This window comes from Homo sapiens, chromosome 6 (genome assembly GCF_000001405.40).
Source record: "Homo sapiens chromosome 6, GRCh38.p14 Primary Assembly".
Lineage (NCBI taxonomy): Eukaryota > Metazoa > Chordata > Mammalia > Primates > Hominidae > Homo > Homo sapiens.
Window position 1 is genome coordinate 143,918,850 of NC_000006.12, and position 19,494 is coordinate 143,938,343.

General features: G+C 38.8%; 1 protein-coding gene across 1 annotated transcript in view; it reads left to right on the plus strand.

Annotated features, from left to right (window-relative positions):
• ZC2HC1B (zinc finger C2HC-type containing 1B) overlaps positions 1-19,494 on the plus strand; it is a 73,870-nt gene extending 54,376 nt beyond the window's left edge. Inside the window, exons 7-8 of the mRNA NM_001013623.3 lie at positions 18,800-18,884; positions 19,293-19,494. Of these exons, the coding sequence (NP_001013645.1) occupies positions 18,800-18,870 (71 nt within the window). The 3' untranslated portion in view covers positions 18,871-18,884; positions 19,293-19,494. The remainder of the gene's footprint in view (positions 1-18,799; positions 18,885-19,292) is intronic.

The following is a 19,494-nucleotide window of genomic DNA, read 5'->3' on the forward strand; positions in this document are numbered from 1 at the left end:
AAAGTTTTCATTTCATTTATTCTATTTTTCAGTTCTAGAATTTTATTTGGTTTCTTTTCAGGATTTATCTTCGTGGATATTTCCATTTTGTTCATAGATCTTTTTCTTGAGTCTCTTCACATCTTTTTTTAGTTCCCTGAGCATCTTCAGTTGTTTAAAAGTATTTGTCTAATAGATCTGTTTAGCAGATCTGTCATCAGGTCTTTTTTTGGGAACAGTTGTGTTGATTTTTTTTCTTTGAAGGTGCTATACTTTTCTTTTTCTTTGTCTGGCTTGTCATTTTCTTTGTTGTAAATTGGACATTTGGACCTAATAATATGTAACTGTGGAAATTAGATATTCTCCCTTCTGCAGGGTTTGCTATTCTCTGTGTGTGTGTGTGTGTGTGTGTGTGTGTGTGTGTGTGTGTGTGTGTGTATGTGACTGTCTCTGTGCCAAGGATCAGTCTTAGGTGTCAACTTAAGGTCTTCTCAGTATTTTTGAGCTTGTGCCTTTCTCTGGGTGTGTCATGTTCACCTTCTAATTTCCTCATATATGTAGTTTTTTAAAAAAACATTGTAGTTTTTAATGTCTAGTTTCCAAAAGGGAGAAAAGACAAAAATAAAAGGAGAGAAGGGCACTGTCCCTTTAAATCCCCTGGAAGTTACTTCAGCCAGAGCAGAAGGGGCTTACAACAATGATGGGAGGTACAACAACAATGGCCACCTGCCTCTTTGTACCTCTTTGATCAGAAACAACAATCAGTGATCAGAGCATAAATCTCTGATAGTTAGAGATTCTTATTTGGGTTCTTATTTGCCTACCATGGCTCCCACAGGCCATGTCCAGATTGATCCAGGAATATGTGCAGAGCTCTGCCACACAGCACAGCTGAGGGGTGGAGGATGTGTAGCTGTGCTAAGATCTGAAATTGGTGAAATTAACTGTATCTTACTGTTCAAGCCTTCCCCTGGAAGTTGCAAGTCTTCAATAGACTCCAGAGTCCAAAATAGTTATATGGGACACATTGTGCCAGCGCAATTGTTATCTAGGAGGGGAGACAAATTCCTGGTGCTTCCTACTCTTCTATCTTTCCAGAATTCTGACAAGTAATTAGTTTTTTCCTCATTTGGGAAAAACTTAACAGTGAGGTAGATACTAGTTTTCAGTAAGAAAAAAAAATTTAAATTGTATGTGTATTCATTTGGTAAAACTTTTACCAATAAGCTTTTTTCTAAAGTACAATGCTTAGTGTCCTTCAGAAAAATAAAAAAACAATTTCTTTATATTATGGTTTCTTTTTTTTATTTTCCAGAGATAATACATATGAGAATGCTTAAAGGAGAAAAAAACACTCCTTTAAGTTTGAGGTCAAATTTTATTTCTCAAGAAGGAATATTTCTTAAGTTATAAGGATTAGATAACAAATCAACACGAGGGTCTAGAACCATTGAGCTCTTGTTTAGTAAACTTGGAAAGAGATCGTGAATGGGAAAAGACAGCATGTCAGTTACGGTGTTGAAAATCAGAAAAGAATTTCCTTCCTTGAACTGATTTATTTAAAGTAGCAACAAGACATAAGAGAAAAGGTCCCAAATTAGGAATCAAAAGTCCTGTGTCCTAGTATGTGATGTTAAGCAGAACATTATAAAGATACCATTCTAACACATAAGAAAATAGACTAGTAGATCAGTAAATATAAGCAAAATGGTATTATGTTTGCTCTTGACTAGTTAGTGAGGATTTATAAGTACTGTGATGTCACTAAGTAAAAGGCAAAGTTCTTAAAATGGTTGACACGGCTGGGCGTGGTGGCTCACACCTGTAATCCCAGTACTTTGGGAGGCCTAGGCAGGCAGATCACAAGTCAGGAGATCGAGACCATCCTGGCCAACATGGTGAAACCCCGTCTCTACTAAAAATACAAAAATTAGCCAGGTGTGGTGGGACGTGCCTGTAATCCCAGCTACTCGGGAGGCTGAGGCAGGAGAATCGCTTGAACCCAGGAGTCGGAGGTTACAGTGAGCCAAGATCGCCACTGCACTCCAGCCTGACAACACAGCGAGAGACTCCGTCTCAAAAAAAAAAAAAAAAAAGGTTGACACTAGTTTCCATAATACCATCTGAGCTCACCTTCTCCTATTTCTCCTTTTTTGAAAAAAACCGAATCCCAAATGTAATACAATGCTGTTTCTTCTTAATCCTGCTCCAGCTACAAGTGGCCCCAGGTTGTTCCTTGACCATAGCAGCCATACACACTCCTGTCTCATGACCTTTGTACTGGCTGCCCCCTCTGCTGAAAACAAAAACACTCTCCCAGTAATCTGCACTGCTCACTCATTCACTTCCTTCAGTTCTTTGCTAAAGTGTCGCCTCAGTGAGACTTCTCCAACCTCTGTATTTAAAACTAACCAAGCCTTCCCTAATTCCTTTGTAATTATTTCCACATAGCATTTATCACCATCTAATATTCAATATATATTTAACTCATTCGTCTCTCATGTACCAAAAAGAAATGGAATATAAGTTTCAAGAAAGGGGAATTCTCTACTGTATCTTTCTCTATTGTACTGGAATATCCCTACTTTTTAGAGTTGTTTGTGGCACACAAGAGGGACTCAGTAAATACTTGTTGAATGAAATGTATGAGGAGAAGTGGAAATCTTGATTCTATCATTTCACACTCAAATTATTATCATAGAATAGAATTATCATGTTAATTAGCTTTAAGAGATAGCTTTGTTTTATTTCAAGCTCAAGATGCTTTTTAAATTTAATTTCTTACTCTCTACTTGCTTAAGTAAAAAAATATAATTGCTGGCTGGGTGTGGTGGCTCACATTTATAATCCCGGTGCTTTGGGAGGCCAAAGTCAGAGGATCACTGGATGCCAGAAGTTCAAGACCAGCCTGGGCAACATAGCAAGACCCTGTCTCTACAAGAAAAATTTAAAAATTTGCTACATGTGGTGGCACCCACTTGTAGCTCTTGCTACCCAGGAGACTGAGGTGGGAGGATTGCTTGAGTCCAGTACAAGTGTTCAAGGCTGCAATGAGCTATGATCGTGCCACTGCACACCAGTCTGGGTGACAAAGTAAGTCCTTTTCTCTTAAAAAAAATAAAAATAAAGTTGCTAGGGTTAATGTGTCTTTAAATTAGTCACATATAATTTGGAGCCATTCTGGGGAGGAATTAGAAGCATACTGGGTGAAGGTGAATCTCTAAAGTGTTTAAGGACTTGGAGAAAAGTACCAAATGCCTTTCGTTGATACAAACAAGCCCATGCATTAGTTAGAATCTCACTTAGTGAGATTTCCTTCGTTCTGTTCTGATACTAGTCTACTTGTAATATGTGGTCTTTTTGTTGATATATAATATTTGTACATGTTTATGGAATACATGTGGTATTTTGATACATGAATAAAATGTGTAATGATCAAATCAGGGTATTTAAGATATCTATGACCTCAAACATTTATTATTTATTTGACTTGGGAACATTTCAAATCTTCTTTTCCAGTTATTCTGAAATATGGAATATATTGTTGTTAACTGCAGTCACCCTACTGTGCTATCAAACACTAGAACTTATTCTTTCTATCTAACTGTATTTCGTACCTACTAACCAACCTCTCCACCAGCACCCTGCCACACACATACCCTTCCCGTCCTCTAGTAACTATCATTCTATTCCCTACATCACTGAAATCAACTTTTTTAGCTCCCACATATGAATGAGAACATGTGATATTTGTCTTTCTGTGTCTGGCTTAATTCATTTAACAATAATGACCTCTAGTTCCATACACATTGCTGCAAATGACAGGATATCATTCTTTTTTTGTGGCTGAATAGTATTCCACTGAGTATATATACCACATTTTCTTTTTTTCAAATTTTATTCACATGTTTTATTCATTCATCCATTAATGAACATTTAGATTGATTTCATATGTTGCTATTGTGAATAGTCCTGCCATAAACAAGAGGATATGGGTATCCCTTTGATATACTGATTTCCTTTCCTTTGAATAAATACCCAAGAGTGAGATTACTAGATTTTGTGTTAGTTGTATTGTTAGTTTGTTGAGGAAACTTCATTCTGTCTTCTGCAAGGGCTGTACTAATTTACTTTCCAACCAACAGTGTATAATATAGAGTTCCCTTTTCTCCGCATCCTCACAAGCATCTGTTATTTCTTGCCTTTTTGATAAGAGCCATTCTAACAAGGGTAAGATTTTGTCTCATTGCGTCTTGGATTGGCATTTCCCTGATAATTAATTATGTTGAACATTTTTTCCATATACCTGTTGTCCATTTTTAAGTCCTTTTTTTTTTCCCTGTAACCAGGGGTGAGAGAGGTATGTCTTCTTTTGAGAAATGCCTACTCAGATCCTTTGCCCACTTTTTCATGGGATTATTAGTTTTTTTGCTGTTAAGTTGTTTGAATTCCTCAGGTATATGTGTTGTGTTAGATAAAAAACACAAAAAGTTGTTTGAGTTCCTTGCTTATTCTGAATATTAGTTCCTTGGGAGATGAATGGTTTGCAAATATTTTCTCCTATTTAGCATGTTGTCCTTCTCACTCTGTTGATTGCTTCCTTTGCTGCATAGAAGCTTTTTAGTTTATATAGTCCCATTTGTTTATTTTATTTTTGTTGCCTGTGCTTTTGAAGTCATGGCCACAAATTTTTTGCCTAGACCAATGTCTGAGAGCATTTTCCCTATTTTCTTCTAGTAGTTTCATAGTTTTGGGTCTTATGTTTAAGTCTTTCATCAATTTTGGGTTGATTTTTGTATATTGTGAGACATAGGGATCTAGTTTCATTTTTCTGTACTTGGATATCCAGTTTTCCCTGTACCATTATTGAAGAGGATGCCTTTCCCCAATTTATATTCTTAATGGCTTTGTTGAAAATCAGTTAGCTGTAAATACATGCATGTATTCCTGGAGTGTCTATTCTGTTTCATTGGTTTATGTGTCTGTTTTTATACCAATATCTTGCTGTTTTAGTTACTACAGCTTTTTAATATATTTTGAAATCAGGTATGTGATGCCTCCAGCTTTGTTTTTTTTTACTCAGGAACACTATGGCTATTTGAGCTCTTTAATGGTTCTATACAAATTTTAGGATTTTTTTGTATTTATATAAAGAATGTCATTGGTGTTTTGATAGGGATTACATTGAATCTGTAGATTGCTTTGGGTAGTATGGTCATTTTAACAATAGTAATTCTTCTGAGTCATGAGCATGGGATATCTTTCCATTTGTTTGTGTCCTCTTAACATTCTTTCATCAGTGTTTTGAAGTTTTCCTCGTAAGCGTCTTTCACTTTCTTGGTTTAATTTATTCCTAAGTATTTTATTTTTTGTAGCTATTGTAAATGAGATTGTTTTCTTTTTTAGCCAGTTTATTATTGGCACATAGAAATGCTGCTGATTTTTATATGTTGATTTTGTATCCTGCAATTTTACTAAATTCATTTATTCTAGGAGTGTTTTTGGTGGAGTCTTTAGGTTTTATATATATATATATGTATTACATATATATATCCATGTATATATAATACACACACACACATATATCCATGTTATCTACAAAGAGGGACAGTTTGACTTCCTCTATTCCAATTTAGATGACATTTATTTATTTCTCTTGCCTGATTGCTCTGGCAAGGACTTCCAGTACTATGTTGAATAAAAGTGATGACCCTATCTCTAAATAAATAATAAAAATGAAGTGGTGGAACTGGGTATCCAATGTCTTGTTACAGGTCTTTCAGCTTCTCCCCACTCAGTATTATGTTAGCTATGCATTTGTCAGATATGACCTTTACTATGCTGAGGCATGTTTCTTCTATGCCTAATTTGTTAAGAGTTTTAATCATGAAAAGAAGTTGAATTTTATAAAATTCCTTTTCTCTGTCTCTTGAAATGATCATATTGTTTTTGTCTTTCATTCTGTTGTTGTGAGGTATCACATTTATTGACTTGCATGGGTGGAACCATCCTTTCATCTGATGTATTATCCTTTTATGGTGCTGTTGGATTCACTTTGCTAGTATTTTGTTGAAGCTTTTTTGTGTCTGTGTTCATCAGGGGTATTGGCCTGTAGTTTTCTATTTCCATTATGTCCTTGTCTGGTTTTGGTATCAGGGTAATACTGGCCTCACAGAATGAGTAAGGAAGAATTTCCTCCTTTGAATTTTCTGAAATAGTTTGAGAAGAATATGTGTTAGTTTTTCTTTACAAGTTTGATAGCATTTGGAAGTAAAGACATCCGGTGCTGAGCTTTTCTTTGTTGGGAGACTTTTTATTACTGATTCAATCTCATTCCTTTTTTTTTTTTTTTTTTTTTTTTTTTTGAGACAGAGTCTCACTCTGTCGCCCAGGCTGGAGTGCAGTGGTGCGATCTCCCCTCACTGCAAGCTCCGCCTCCCGGGTTCACGCCATTCTCCTGCGTCAGCCTCCCGAGCAGCTGGGAGTATAGGCACCCGCCACCATGCCTGGCTAATTTTTTGTATTTTTAGTAGAGACGGGGTTTCACTTTGTTAGCCAGGATGGTCTCGATCTCCTGACTTCGTGATCCGCCTGCCTACGGCCTCCCAAAGTGCTGAGATTACAGGTGTGAGCCACTGCTCCCAGCCCATTACTTGTTATTGGTCTATTCAGGTTTTCTCTTTCTTCCTTATTCATTCTTTTCTTTTCTTTTTTTTTTTTTTTTTGAGACGGAGTTTCGCTCTTGTTGCCCAGGCTGAAGTGTAGTGGCGCGATCTCGTCTCGCCGCAACCTCCGCCTCCCGTGCTCAAGCAATTCTCCTGCCTCAGTCTCCCGAGTAGCTGGGATTATAGGCATGCGCCATCACACCAGGCTAATTTTTTTGTATTTTTAGTAGAGATGGGGTTTCTCCATGTTGGTCAGGCTGGTCTCGAACTCCTGACCTCAGGAAGCCCACCTTGGCCTCCCAAAGTGCTGGGATTACAGGCATGAGCCACGGTGCCCAGCCCTGATTTATTCTTAGTAGATTGTATGTGTCCAGGAATTTATCCATTTCCTCTAGCTTTTCTAATTTGTTAGCATATAGTTCTTTATAAGTCTCTGATGATTTCTTGTATTTCTGTGGTATCAGTTGTAATGTCTCCCTTTTTGTTTGTGATTTTGCTAATTCACATCCTCTCTCTTATTTTCTTGGTTAGTCTAGCTAGTGATTTATCAATTTTGTTTATCTTTTCAAAAAACTAACTTTTCATTCCATTGACCTTTGTATTTTTTTTTAAAGTCTCTATTACATTTAGTTCTGCTCTGATCTTTATTGTTTCTTTCCTTCCGCTAATTTTGGATTTGGTCTGCTCTTGCTTTTCTAGTTATTGAGGGGGCATCCTTAGCTTGATTATTTGAAATGTTTCTACTTCTTGATATACGCATTTATTGCTATGAAATTCCCTCTTAGCACTTCTTTTGCTACATCCCATGGGTTTTGATATGTTGTGTTTCCATTCTCATTTGTCTCAAGACGTTTATTTCCTTCTGTCTTCTTCATTGACCCAATGGCTGTTAAGCATGTTATTTAATTTCCATGTATTTGTATAGTTTCCAAAGTTCCTGTTGTTATTGATTTCTAGTTTTATCCTATTGTGATCTGAAAGGTATTTGATATGATTTTGATTTTTTTTTTAAATTTAGACTTGCTTCGTGGCCTAGCATATGGTCTATACTAGAGAATGTTCCATGTGTTGATGAGAAGAATGTATATTCTGTTGCTATTGGATAAAATATTCCATGCATGTCTTTTAGGTACGTTGATCTGAAGTGCAATTTAAATCTAATGTTCCTTTGATGATTTTCTGTCTTGACGATCTGTCTAATATAGAGAGTAGGGTGTTGAAGTCTTCAACTATTATTGTATTGGAGTCTATCTCTCCCTTCAGATCTAATAATATTTGCTATATATAACTGGATGTTCTGGTGTTAAGTTCATATATATTTAGAATTGTATCTTCTTTTTTTTTTTTTTTTTTTTTTTTTTGAGACGGAGTCTCGCTCTGTCGCCCAGGCCGCTGCAAGCTCCGCTTCCCGGGTTCACGCCATTCTCCTGCCTCAGCCTCCCGAGTAGCTGGGACTACAGGCGCCCGGCTAATTTTTTGTATTTTTAGTAGAGACGGGGTTTCACCTTGTTAGCCAGGATGGTCTCGATCTCCTGACCTCATGATCCACCCGCCTCGGCCTCCCAAAGTGCTGGGATTACAGGCGTGAGCCACCGCGCCCGGCCCGAATTGTATCTTCTTACCGAACGAATCCCTTTATCATTATATGGTGACCTTGTTTATTTATTTATAATAGATTTAGGGGGTACAAATACAGCTTTGTTACATGGGTATATTGCGTAGTGTTGAGGTCTGGGCTTTTAGTGTAACCATCACCTGAATAGTGTTTATTGTACCCATTAGGTAATTTTTCATCCCTTACCCGCCTCCCACCTTCCCACCTTTCCAAGTCTCTAATACCTGTTATTCCAATCTGTATGTCCATGTGTGCATACTATTTATCTTTCATTTAGAAGTGAGAACATGCAGTATTTTGCTTTCTGTTTTTGTTATTTTACTTGAGATAATGGCCTCCAAATCCATACATGTAGCTGCAAAAGACATTATATTATTTTTTTCATGGATACATAGTATTCCATATATATATTTACCACATTTTCTTTATCCAATCATCCATTGATGGTTATTTAGGTTGATTCGGTATCTGTCATGACTAGTGCTGTGATAAACATGAGTGCATGTATCTTTTTGATAAAATGATTCTTTTCCTTTGAGTATATGCCCAGTAGTTGGATTGCTGGATCAAAGGGTAGTTCTATTTTTAATTCTTTGAGAAATCTCTATACTGTTTTCCATAGAAGTTGTCTAATTTACATTTCTACCAACATTTATAAGTGTTCCCTTTTCTCTGCATCTTTGCCAACATCTGTTATTTTTTGACTTTTTAACAGTAGCCATTCTGACTGGTATAAGATGGCACCTCATGGTTTAAATTTGCATTTCTCTGATGATTAGTGATGTTGAATATTTTTTCATATGCTTTTTGGGCATTTTTATGTTTACTTTTGAAAAATGTCTATGTTCTTTGCTCACTTCCTAATGCTTTTTGTTGTTGTTGACTTGTTTGAATTCCTTGTAGATTCCAGATATTAGTCCCTTGTCAGATGCACAGTTTGCAAATATTTTCTCCCATTCTGCAGGTTGTCTGTTCTTGTCTGTCTATTTCTTTTACTCTACAGAAGCATTTGTTTAATTAAGTCCCATTTGTCTATATTTGTAATTGGTGCATTAGCTTTGAAATCTTAGTCTTGAATTCTTTGTGTAGGCCAATGTCCAGAAGAGTTGTTCCTAGGTTTTCTTGTAGAATTTTTAGTTTTCGCATCATACATTTCAGTCTTTAACTCATCTTAATTTTTGTATATGATGACAGATAAATCCAGTTCATTCTTTTGCATGTGGCTATACAATTTTCCCAGCACCGTTTATTGAGTAGGGTGTCCTTTCTCTGATGTATGTTTTTGTCAACTTTGTCGAATATCAGTTGGCTATAGGTATGTGGCTTTATTTCTGGGTCTTCTATTCTGTTCTGTTGATCTATATGTCTATGTTTATACCAGTACCATGCTGTTTGATTACTATAGACTTATAGTATAATGTGGAGTTAGGTAATGTGATGCCTGCTTTTGCTATTTGGGTTCTTTTCAGTTCCATATGAATTTTAGGATTTTTTTTTTCTAATTCTGTGAAAAATGTCATTGCTATTTTGATAGGAATTCTGTTAAGTCTGTAGATTGCTTTGGGCAATGTGGTCATTTTAACAACATTGATTCTTCTAATCTGTGAGAATGGAATGTTTTCCCATTTATTTGTGTCCTCTTAACTCTCTTTCATCAGTATTTTGTAGTTTTCCTTGTAGACATCTATCACTCCTTGTTTAAATGTATTCCTAGGGTTTTTTTTTTTGTTCTTTTTTTTTTAACTATTGGAAATGGGATTGACTTTTGATTTGGTTCTTAGCATGATTATTATTGCTGTATAGAAATGCTACTGATTTTTGTCGATTTTGTATCCTGGAACTTTACTGAATTCATTTATCAAATCTAGCAGTCTTTTGGAGAGGAGTCTTTAGGGTTTTCTAGATATAAGATCATTTCATCAGCAAACAAAGATAATCTGACTTCCTCTTTTCCCATTTTGATGGCTTTTATTTTTTTCTCTTGCCTGATTGCTCTGGCTAGGACCTCCTGTACTGTGCTGAATAGCAGTGGTGAACATGGACATACTTGTCTTGTTCTAGTTCTTAAGGGAAATTCTTTCAACTTTTTCCCAGTGTGTTATTGGCTGTGGGTTTGTTATACATGGCTTTTATTGTTTTGAGGTATGTTCCTTCTATGCCTTGTTTGTTGAGGGCATCATGATAGGATGGTCAATTTTATCAAATGCTTTTTCTAATCTATTGAGATGATAATATGGTTTTTGTTTTTCATTCACTTGATGTGATGAATCACATTTATTGATATGCATATGTTGTACCAACCTTGCATCCCTTGCAAAACCCACTTGATCATATTGTATTATCTTTTTGATGTGCTGTATGATTTTGTTTGCTTGTATTTTGTTAAGGAATTTTGCACCTATGTTCATGAAAGGTATTAGTCTGTAATTTTCTTTTTTTGTTGTGTTCTCTACTGATGTTGGTAGCAAAGTGATACTTTGTAGAATTAGGGAAGAGTCCCTCCTCTTCAGTGTTTTGGGACAGTTTCAGTTGGATTGGTAGCACTTCTTTTATGTCTGATAAAATTTGGCTGTGAATCTGTCTGCTCCTGGGCTCTTTTGTTGTTGTTGTTGTTGTTATTTGGGGGAGATATTTTTAAATTACTAATCATATCTCACTACTTATTATTGTTCTGCTCAGGATTTCTATTTCTTCCTGGTTCAATCTTGGGAGGTTGTATAGATTCCACAAATTTATCCCCTTCCTCTAAATTTTCCAGTTTGTGAGCATATAAATAGTCATAGTAGTCTCTGATGATCTTTTGCATTTCTGTAGTATCAGTTGTAATGTCTCCTTTTTCTTTTCTGATTGTGCTTATTTGAATCTTCTTTCTTCCTTCCTAGGTTAGTTGACCTAGTGGTCTACCAATCTTGTTTATTTCTTCAAATGAACAACTTTTTGTTTTGTTGATCTTTTGTATTGTGTTTTTGGTCTCAAGTTCATTTAGTTCTGCTCTGAGCTTTGTCATTTCTTTTCTTCTGCTAGCTTTGGGTTTGGTTTGTTTCTTTTGTTTCTTGATGTGTAACATTATGATGTTAATTCAGGATCTTTCTTTTTTTAATGTAGGTGTTTAATGCTAATACTGCTTTTGCTGTTTGTCAAAGGTTTTGATATGTTGTGTCTCTGTTTCCTTTTGTTTCAAAAATGTAAATTTTTGTCTTTTGTCATTGACCCAAAAATCATTCAGGAGCAGGTTGTTTAACTTTCATGTATTTGTATAGTTTTGAGAGTTTCTTTTTTTTTTTTTTTTTTTTCCTGAGACGGAGTCTTGCTCTGTCGCCCAGGCTGGAGTGCATTGGTGCGATCTCAGCTCACTGCAAGCTCCGCCTCCTGGGTTCATGCCATTCTCCTGCCTCAGCCTCTCCGAGTAGCTGGGACTACAGGCGCCCGCCACCACGCCCGGCTAATTTTTTTTATATTTTTAGTAGAGACGGGATTTCACCGTGGTCTCGATCTCCTGACCTTGTGATCTGCCTGCCTCGGCCTCCCAAAGTGCTGGGATTACAAGCGTGAGCCACCGCGCCCAGCCAGTTTTGAGAGTTTCTTTTGGAATCACTTTATAGTTTTATTCCACTGTGGTCTCAGAAGATACTTGATATGATTTCAATTTCTAAAATGTACTGAGGCTTATTTTGTTGCATAACATGTTGTCTATCTTGGAGAATGTTCCATGCACTGATGAGAATAATGTATATTCTGCAGTTATTGGGTAGAATATTCTGTAAATGTCTGTAAGGTCCATTTGGTCTACAGTGATTAAGTCCAGTGCTTCTCTGTTGATTTTTCTGTCTTGATGATCTGTTTGGTGCTGTCAGTAGAGTGCTGAAGTCCCCACTATTAGTGTAATGCATCTCTTTTCTTAGGATTGTGGTATTTTCCATTGGACTGGTCCTTGTATAATTATATAATGTCTCTCTTTGTCTTTTTTAACTGTTCTTGTTTTAAAGTCTGTTTTGTTTGATATGAGAATAGCTACTCCTGCTTGCTTTTGGTTTCCATTTGCATGGAATATCTTTTTCCACTCCTTTACCTTAAGTCTATGTGAGTCTTTATGCATTAGCTGAGTCTCTTGAAGACAACAGATACTTCATCGGTGGATTTTTGTCCATTCTGCCATTCTTTACCTTTTAAGTGAAGCATTTAGGCCATTTACATTCAGCATTATTTTTGAGATGTCAGGTACTGTTTTATTCTTCATGCTAGATGTTGCCCAAATACCTTGTGGGTTTTTTGTTGTTGTTTGTTTTGCTTTTTTCATTTCATTATTGTTTTATAGGCCCTGTGAGATTTATGCTTTAAAGAGGTTCTATTTTGGTGTATTTGGAGGTTTTAAGGTTTAAAGCTCCTTTTAGCAGTTCTTGTAGTGCTGGCATGGTAGTGGTGAATTCTCTCAGCATTTGTTTGTCTGAAAAAGACTTTATCTCTCCTTCATTTATGATGCTTAGTTTTGCTGGACACAGAAGTCTTGGCTGGCAATTATTTTGTTTGAGGAGGCAAAAGATAATACCCCAATCCCATCTGGTTTATAGGGTTTCTGCTGAAAAATCTGTTGTTAATCTGATATCTTTTCCTTTATAGGTTACCTGATGCTTTTGCCTCAGAGCTCTTAAGATTCTTTCCTTTGTCTTGACTTTTGATAACCTGATGACTGTTTGCCTAGGTGATTATTTTTTGTGATGAATTTCCAAGGTGTTCTTTGAACTTCTTCTTCTTCTTCTTTTTTTTTTTTTTTTTTAACGGAGTTTCACTTTTGTTGCCCAAAGCTGGAGTGCAATGGCATGATCTCGGCTCACTGCAACCTCCACCTCCCAGGTTCAAGCGATTCTCCTGCTTCAGCCTCCCAAGTAGCTAGGATTACAGGCACTACAGGTGTGCACCACCACACCCAGCTAATTTTTAGTATTTTTAGTAGAAACAGTGTTTCACCATGTTAGCCAGGCTGGTCTCGAACTCCTGACCTCAGGTGATCCTCACACCTTGGCCTCCCAAAGTGCTGGGATTACAGATGTGAGCTACTGCACCTAGCCTCTTTGAACTTCATATTTAGATGTCTAGATCTCTAGTGAGCTCAGGGAAGTTTTCCTCAATTATCATCACAAATATGTCTTCCAAGAAGATTTCTCTTCTTCGCCAGGAACACCAATTATTTTAGGTTTGGCTGTTTAACATAATCTCAAACTTCTTGGAGGCTTTGATCATTTAAAAGAAATGTTTTTTCTTTGTCTTTGTCTCATTGGGTTACTTTGAAAGCCTTTTCTTTAAGCTCTAAAGTTCTTTCTTCTACTTGTTTGATTCTATTGTGGAAACTTTCCAGTGCATTTTGTATTTCTCTAAGTGTGTCTTTCATTTCCAGAAGTTGTGATTGTTTTTTCTTTATGATATCTGTTTCTCTGAAGCATTTTTCCTCCATATCCTGTATTGTCTTTGAAATTTATTTAAGTTGGCTTTTACCTTTCTCTGGTATCTCCTTGAGTAGCTTAATAATCAGCCTTCTGAATTCTTTATCTGGCAGTTCAGAGATTGCTTCTTGGTTTGGATCCATTGCTGGGGAGCTGGTGTGGTCTTTTGGGGGTGTTATAGAACCTTGTTTTGTCATATTGCCAGAATTGCTTTTCTGATTTTTTTCTCATTTGGATACACTATTTCAGTGGAAAAATCTGGAACTCAAGGGCAGCTGTTCAGATTCTTTTGTCCCACAGGGTGAACCCTTGATGTGGTACCCTCCCCCTTTCCCTAGGAGCCAGATTGTGGTGATTGTTCTTGCTATTCTAGGTCTAGCCACTCAGCAGGGCTACCAGGCTATTGGCTGGTTCTGGGGAATGTCTGCCGAGTCCTGTGATGCAATTTGTCTTCGGGTCTACCAGCCGTGGATACCAGCACCTGTTCTGATGGAGGTGGCAGGGGAGTCAGGTAGACTCTGTGAGAGTCCTTGGTTGTAAATATGTTTACTGTGTTGTCTTTCTTGAATGCTGGTTATGCTAGCAGCGAAGTTGTCATGTGGACAGACTCGGGACCACTGGTTAGCCAGGATGTTTCAGGCAGTGGAATTAGCTGCTGTTTTTTCCTTCATTAGAGCAGGGTTGTTCTGTTATGAGTTGCTATAATGTTCTGAGTTGGTTAACCTTGAGCCAGGAGGTGGTGCTTTTGAGAGTGCGCCAGCCAGCTGCAATAGTAGAGGGGGATATAAGCTTGCTCTAATTTGGCCAGGACAAGTATTCAGGCTTCTCAGGTGATGGATGGGATCATAAAGCTCCCAAGAGTTTATGTCTTTTGTGATTCACTATTGGACCGGGTAGAGAAATACTATCAGGTGCAGGCAGGATTAGGTAGGTTTGAGCTCAGACTCTCCTTGGGTGGGGGTTGCTGTGGCCACTGTGGGGAGATCAGGGGATGGTTCTTGGGCCAATGGAGTTATGTTCCAGAGGGAATTATGGCTGCCTCTGTCACCAGGGAAGTGGGCGAAAGCTGGTAGCAACAGGCCTCACCCAGCTCCCACACAGTTGGCAAGGCCAGTCTCACTCCCACCGTGCCCTGCTAACCGTGCCAAGTTTATCTCTAGGCAGCCTGCAGCCTGGGACTCAGATCTAGTCCCAGGCTCTAAGTTTCCCCACTGAGGAAGCAAGCACTGCTTTCAGGCCACACCTTTGCCAATCTGCCACACTGTCAGCCGCATCTCCACTGTGCTTTCTGCAACAGTTCCTGTTTGCCCCCAGATTCTTCTCAAGAGGGTTTGCACCCAGTCAAAATTATTACAAAGTTCAGTTGGAAGCTTCTTTCACCCTGTGACCCCTCTCAAATTCTGCCAGTTGCCTTCCCCGAGGGCTCTTGTGAGATAGAGTCAGGGATGGCTTCCCTGGGCTTGAGCTGGAGAATGGGACTGCCTACAAGGCTTGTCCCACTGCTGCTTCTACTTTTACATTTCACAGCAAATCAATTTCAGCTCTAGGTAAGGCTAAATTCTTCTCCCGTAATCTGGATTTTTCAGGTTCCTCAGTGGGGACGTGTGCTTGGAAGCAGATGTGTCCCCTCTCAGACTTTGGGAACTTACGAATTTTCACCTGTCTTGCAGAATTTGCAATAGCCTGCCACTTCTTTCAAAGGATCTGTGATTTCTTTTGTTTTTCCTGGTATGCTCCTGCAGTTGTTCCTGGAGCAAACGACCACAGAGTGAGTGTCCACACGCTGTTCTGTCCATCCAAGTGGGAGCTACTTATCAGCCCTGTCCCCTATCTGCCATCTTCCCTCTCTTTCAATATGCTTTTTTAATATTATGATTTTGAATTCCTTTTCTGGCATTTCATCAATTTTTTTGTTGCAATCTGTTGCTGGAGAATTGTATTCCTTTGGAGGAGTCATATTTTCTTGCATTTTTATGTTTCTTGTGTTCCTATGCCAATATCTCTGCATCTGGTGTAACAGTCACTTCTTCCAATTTTTGAATTGGCCTTCATAGGAAAGACTTCTTCCTACATATGTATCTATAGTGATAGTTGGGTAGGGCACTTTAGCTTTGATACTGGAGCATACAGTAATTGCGTGTCCATGATTTTTTGGCTGTAATTACTATCAGTGGTGTCTATGAATTCCTTAGTGACTTAAACTGCAGTTGTTATTGGAAGCTGTGGTGAGGCTTTGCTGGGGATGGGGACACAAGGTGAGCTGGTCTTCAGGCCTCAGTGGTGGCAGCAGTAGACTGAGCCTGCCTGTCCTTGGGACCCCAGGTAGCATACGTGGGCACTGGTGTTAGCAGGTCCAGGCAGACCAATCTTTGGACCTCCAGATGGCTTGCTCAGGTGCCAGCAGTGGCGATGGTGGGTGGCTCTTCAGGTTCCTGGGTGGCATGCATGGGGTTGCCAATAACATTGATGGTGGTAGACCAACCCTCTGGCTCCTAGGCAGTATCCATAGGGTACTAGTGGTGGCAGTAGTGAGCTGGGCGGCCCCATCCTTAGTCCCCTAGGAGGAGTATGTGGACGCTGCAGATGCTGGTGGTGGTGGGTCAATCTCCAAGTCCATGGATGATGTATGCAGGTACCAATAGGCTGAGCAGACTCACCCTCAGGCACCTGGTAGGGGTGGGTAGAAGCTGACCACAGGCAGGGTGAGCTGACCACAGGCAGGGTGGGTTGATCCCCAGGCCCCAACAATGCACAGAAGCACTGGTGGGCATGACACCACATGGGTCAAGCCTGTCATCAGCTTCCCAATGGTGGGCACAAGCACAGGCTGTGATGGTCAGGGCTGCTCAATCTCCAGGCTCCCAGTCAGTGTCCATTGGTGCCAGCAGGGTGGGTGGCCCTGTCCTCAGGCCCAGTGAGGGTTTGCATGGGTTTCTGTGGCAGGGGTCAGGGCAGCTCATAAGGGTCTTTTTTTTTCTTTTCATTATACAATGCTATATAAAAATAAAGGTCTTTAAAAATTGTTGTTGTTGGGTTTTTTGTTATTGCTATTAATATATTCAGATTGACAATCAGTAGTTTAGGCCACTTGGTATCACTCTTTTTTTTTTTTTTTTTTTTTTTTTTTTGAGACAGGATCTCTCTGTCGCCCAGGCTATAGTGCAGTAGCTTGATCAAAGCTCTCTACAGCCTTGACTTCCTGGGTACAAGTGACCCTCTCACCTCAGCCTCCTGAGTATATGGGATGACAGGCATGTACCACCATACCCAGATAATTTTTTTTATTTGTAGAGGTGAGGTATTATGTTTCCCAGACTGGTCTTGAACTCCTAGGCTCAAGCAATCCTCCTGCCTTGGCCTCTCAAAGTATTGGCATTACAGGTGTGAGCCACTGCCCCTGTCTTCTTTTTTAAGTAATATCTACTTATGGTATCATATATTATAAATCTAGTTGTTGTCTTTCATCTAGATAGCAGTTAGCCTCCTAAAACTCGGGCTTTCATCCTTCAACTCTCTTGAGTAAAATAAGCATTTAGTATCTTGTACCTCCCACATATAACAGTTTTAAAATTCATACCAGAGGAGACACATGTGTGTACAAGTCAACAGCCTTATTGATCCCAGAGTCTTATGAGAAGACATAGCATGCACAGGAAAACTTCTAATACAAAAAGAGCACCTGGTATTAAGTGAAGTTACCATGCCAGTTAAGCAACTGGCGTATGAACTCATTTAATTCTCACAATAGCGTGAGGAGGTCGATGTACTATTCATATCTCTATTTTACAGATGAGGAAAGCACAGAGAGGTTAAGCAACATGGGCAAGCTATTTAATAGGAAGGAGCAGAGCTTTGTACGTTTTGGGAAAAATGGGTCCAAAAATATAAATATTAAGGCTATTGATACATATTTGGAAATTATTTTAGAAAAAGAAGTGGCTCTTCTCGCATTCCTAAAAGATTCTAATGTTCAGATGGGGAATGAGTGTATAGCCTAGTCAGCAAATATGTACTGATGGCTGTTTTCTGGAGGCTTTTGTTATATGAATGATGGATATACTGGAAGGTACTGCCAAGAAGCTGCTTCTCTGAGATCTTCGTACAGAGACTAATGTCACTATGAGCATGTAGTTCTGGGATCTAGACCTGCATTGCTTTGTATATTTAGTAGTGGATTGCATTTGTACAGCTTTGCTGGTGTGGGCTCTACTTTACTTCTGGAGCCAGTGGATTTTTATCAAGTTAAGCATTTTACCTGCACTAGCATTCCATTCTTTACCTAATTTAGTTGTGTAGCAAACCTGTTGAGCATCACAGTTGTGGATTCTTTGGCAGAAGTAAAACCAGTTTATGTTTCAGTAAAACTAACACTGAAAGCTCTTTCTATTCCTATGTCCTTTGAGAGTTTGATTCACAATTTCCTTGTTATTGCTCCTTCATAAAACACTGAGTAGAAAGGAGGCTTCTTAGGACAGAGGGGACTTGTTCCTTTTTTATTTTTTAACAAAAAAAAGAACCTCTGAGAATCCTGTCCCCTACGATGTGGTCAAAACTAAGCCATGGTGTGGTGTGCCCATATCCATAAACTTGTGTATCTCCATACCTAACAACACTGCTGGGCTCAAGGGAAAAGAATACTGTTTGTGGAATGAATCCATTGTCACGTAGATAACCCTAAGCAGGGAAGGCAGCTTATGCTTCCGTAAGGCTTAGCAAAGTCTTCTCATGTGAGAGCTAGCAAATAATTTGAAGATCCAAAATATCAGGGTCCATTTTGAAAGCTGGGGCAATAGCGGAGGGGATGTCGAAAGTCCTAGTGTATAAAGGGTGGGTCACTTGAGGTGCAGTCCAAAGTCCATGAATAAACAGAGGTTAGGGGCAGAGGAAAGAAGGCACCTGAGGTAGCCCCTGTTTTCCTTATTTGGTTATTTGTCTGTAGCTACCCCACCCTCATTGCCCTCCCCACCACACTCCCCCACCTCCCACCAAAAAAAAGGAAGAATAGAAACTTTTGAACCCATGTGGGGATTTCACAATCATGTCTTTTTTTCTTGGTAATGTTCTGCTTTGACATAATAACAAATCTGTTTATGTTTGCAAAGGATTAGCTATGGACCCTGCTTCTGGAGCAAAACTCAGACAAGGATTTAGTAAATCTTCTAAAAAAGATTAACTCCTAGAAGCCAGGTAAGAAAAAAAAATCACCGCTAATCCAGCTGTTGCTGACCAGTTAATGACTTTTAAGAGAATGGATGCATAGTAAGCAAACTGAAGAGACATCTGGACAAACTCCAAGTTGGGTTAACAAAATGTATGCTCTTGAAACTGACTCTGCTGTTAAACATACAGTTTAAAGAGGATATTCAGTTTTTGATTCATGACTTAATAGGAAAGGGGAATGATCCCTCACTTTTGACCTGAAAGGTTACTGCCTTTTCCCTTTTTCTAAGCACCTTACCCTCACAAAGAATAGTTCCCTGAGGGTGTGAATTGTTTGTAAAATAATTAAAAGTCTGAAGAGGCCTATGTTATTTAGCATTCTCAATGTGGAAACAATGACATTCTAAAGTAAATGCCTCTTCTTTCTGCTTTCAGACTGCCTCCCTGAAACCCATCAGCCTGGATGGTTGCGTACCCGAGAATGCCACCTAAGGGGAAGGAACGGTAGATGTGATGTCTGTTTTTACACCCTTGATTCTTCTTGAAGCATCACTTAGAACAAGTAAAACTTGCTTCAGATTTTTATTTACTCCCTTTGAAGTTTTCAAAACAAAAGCATTAAACACATCAACCTGTA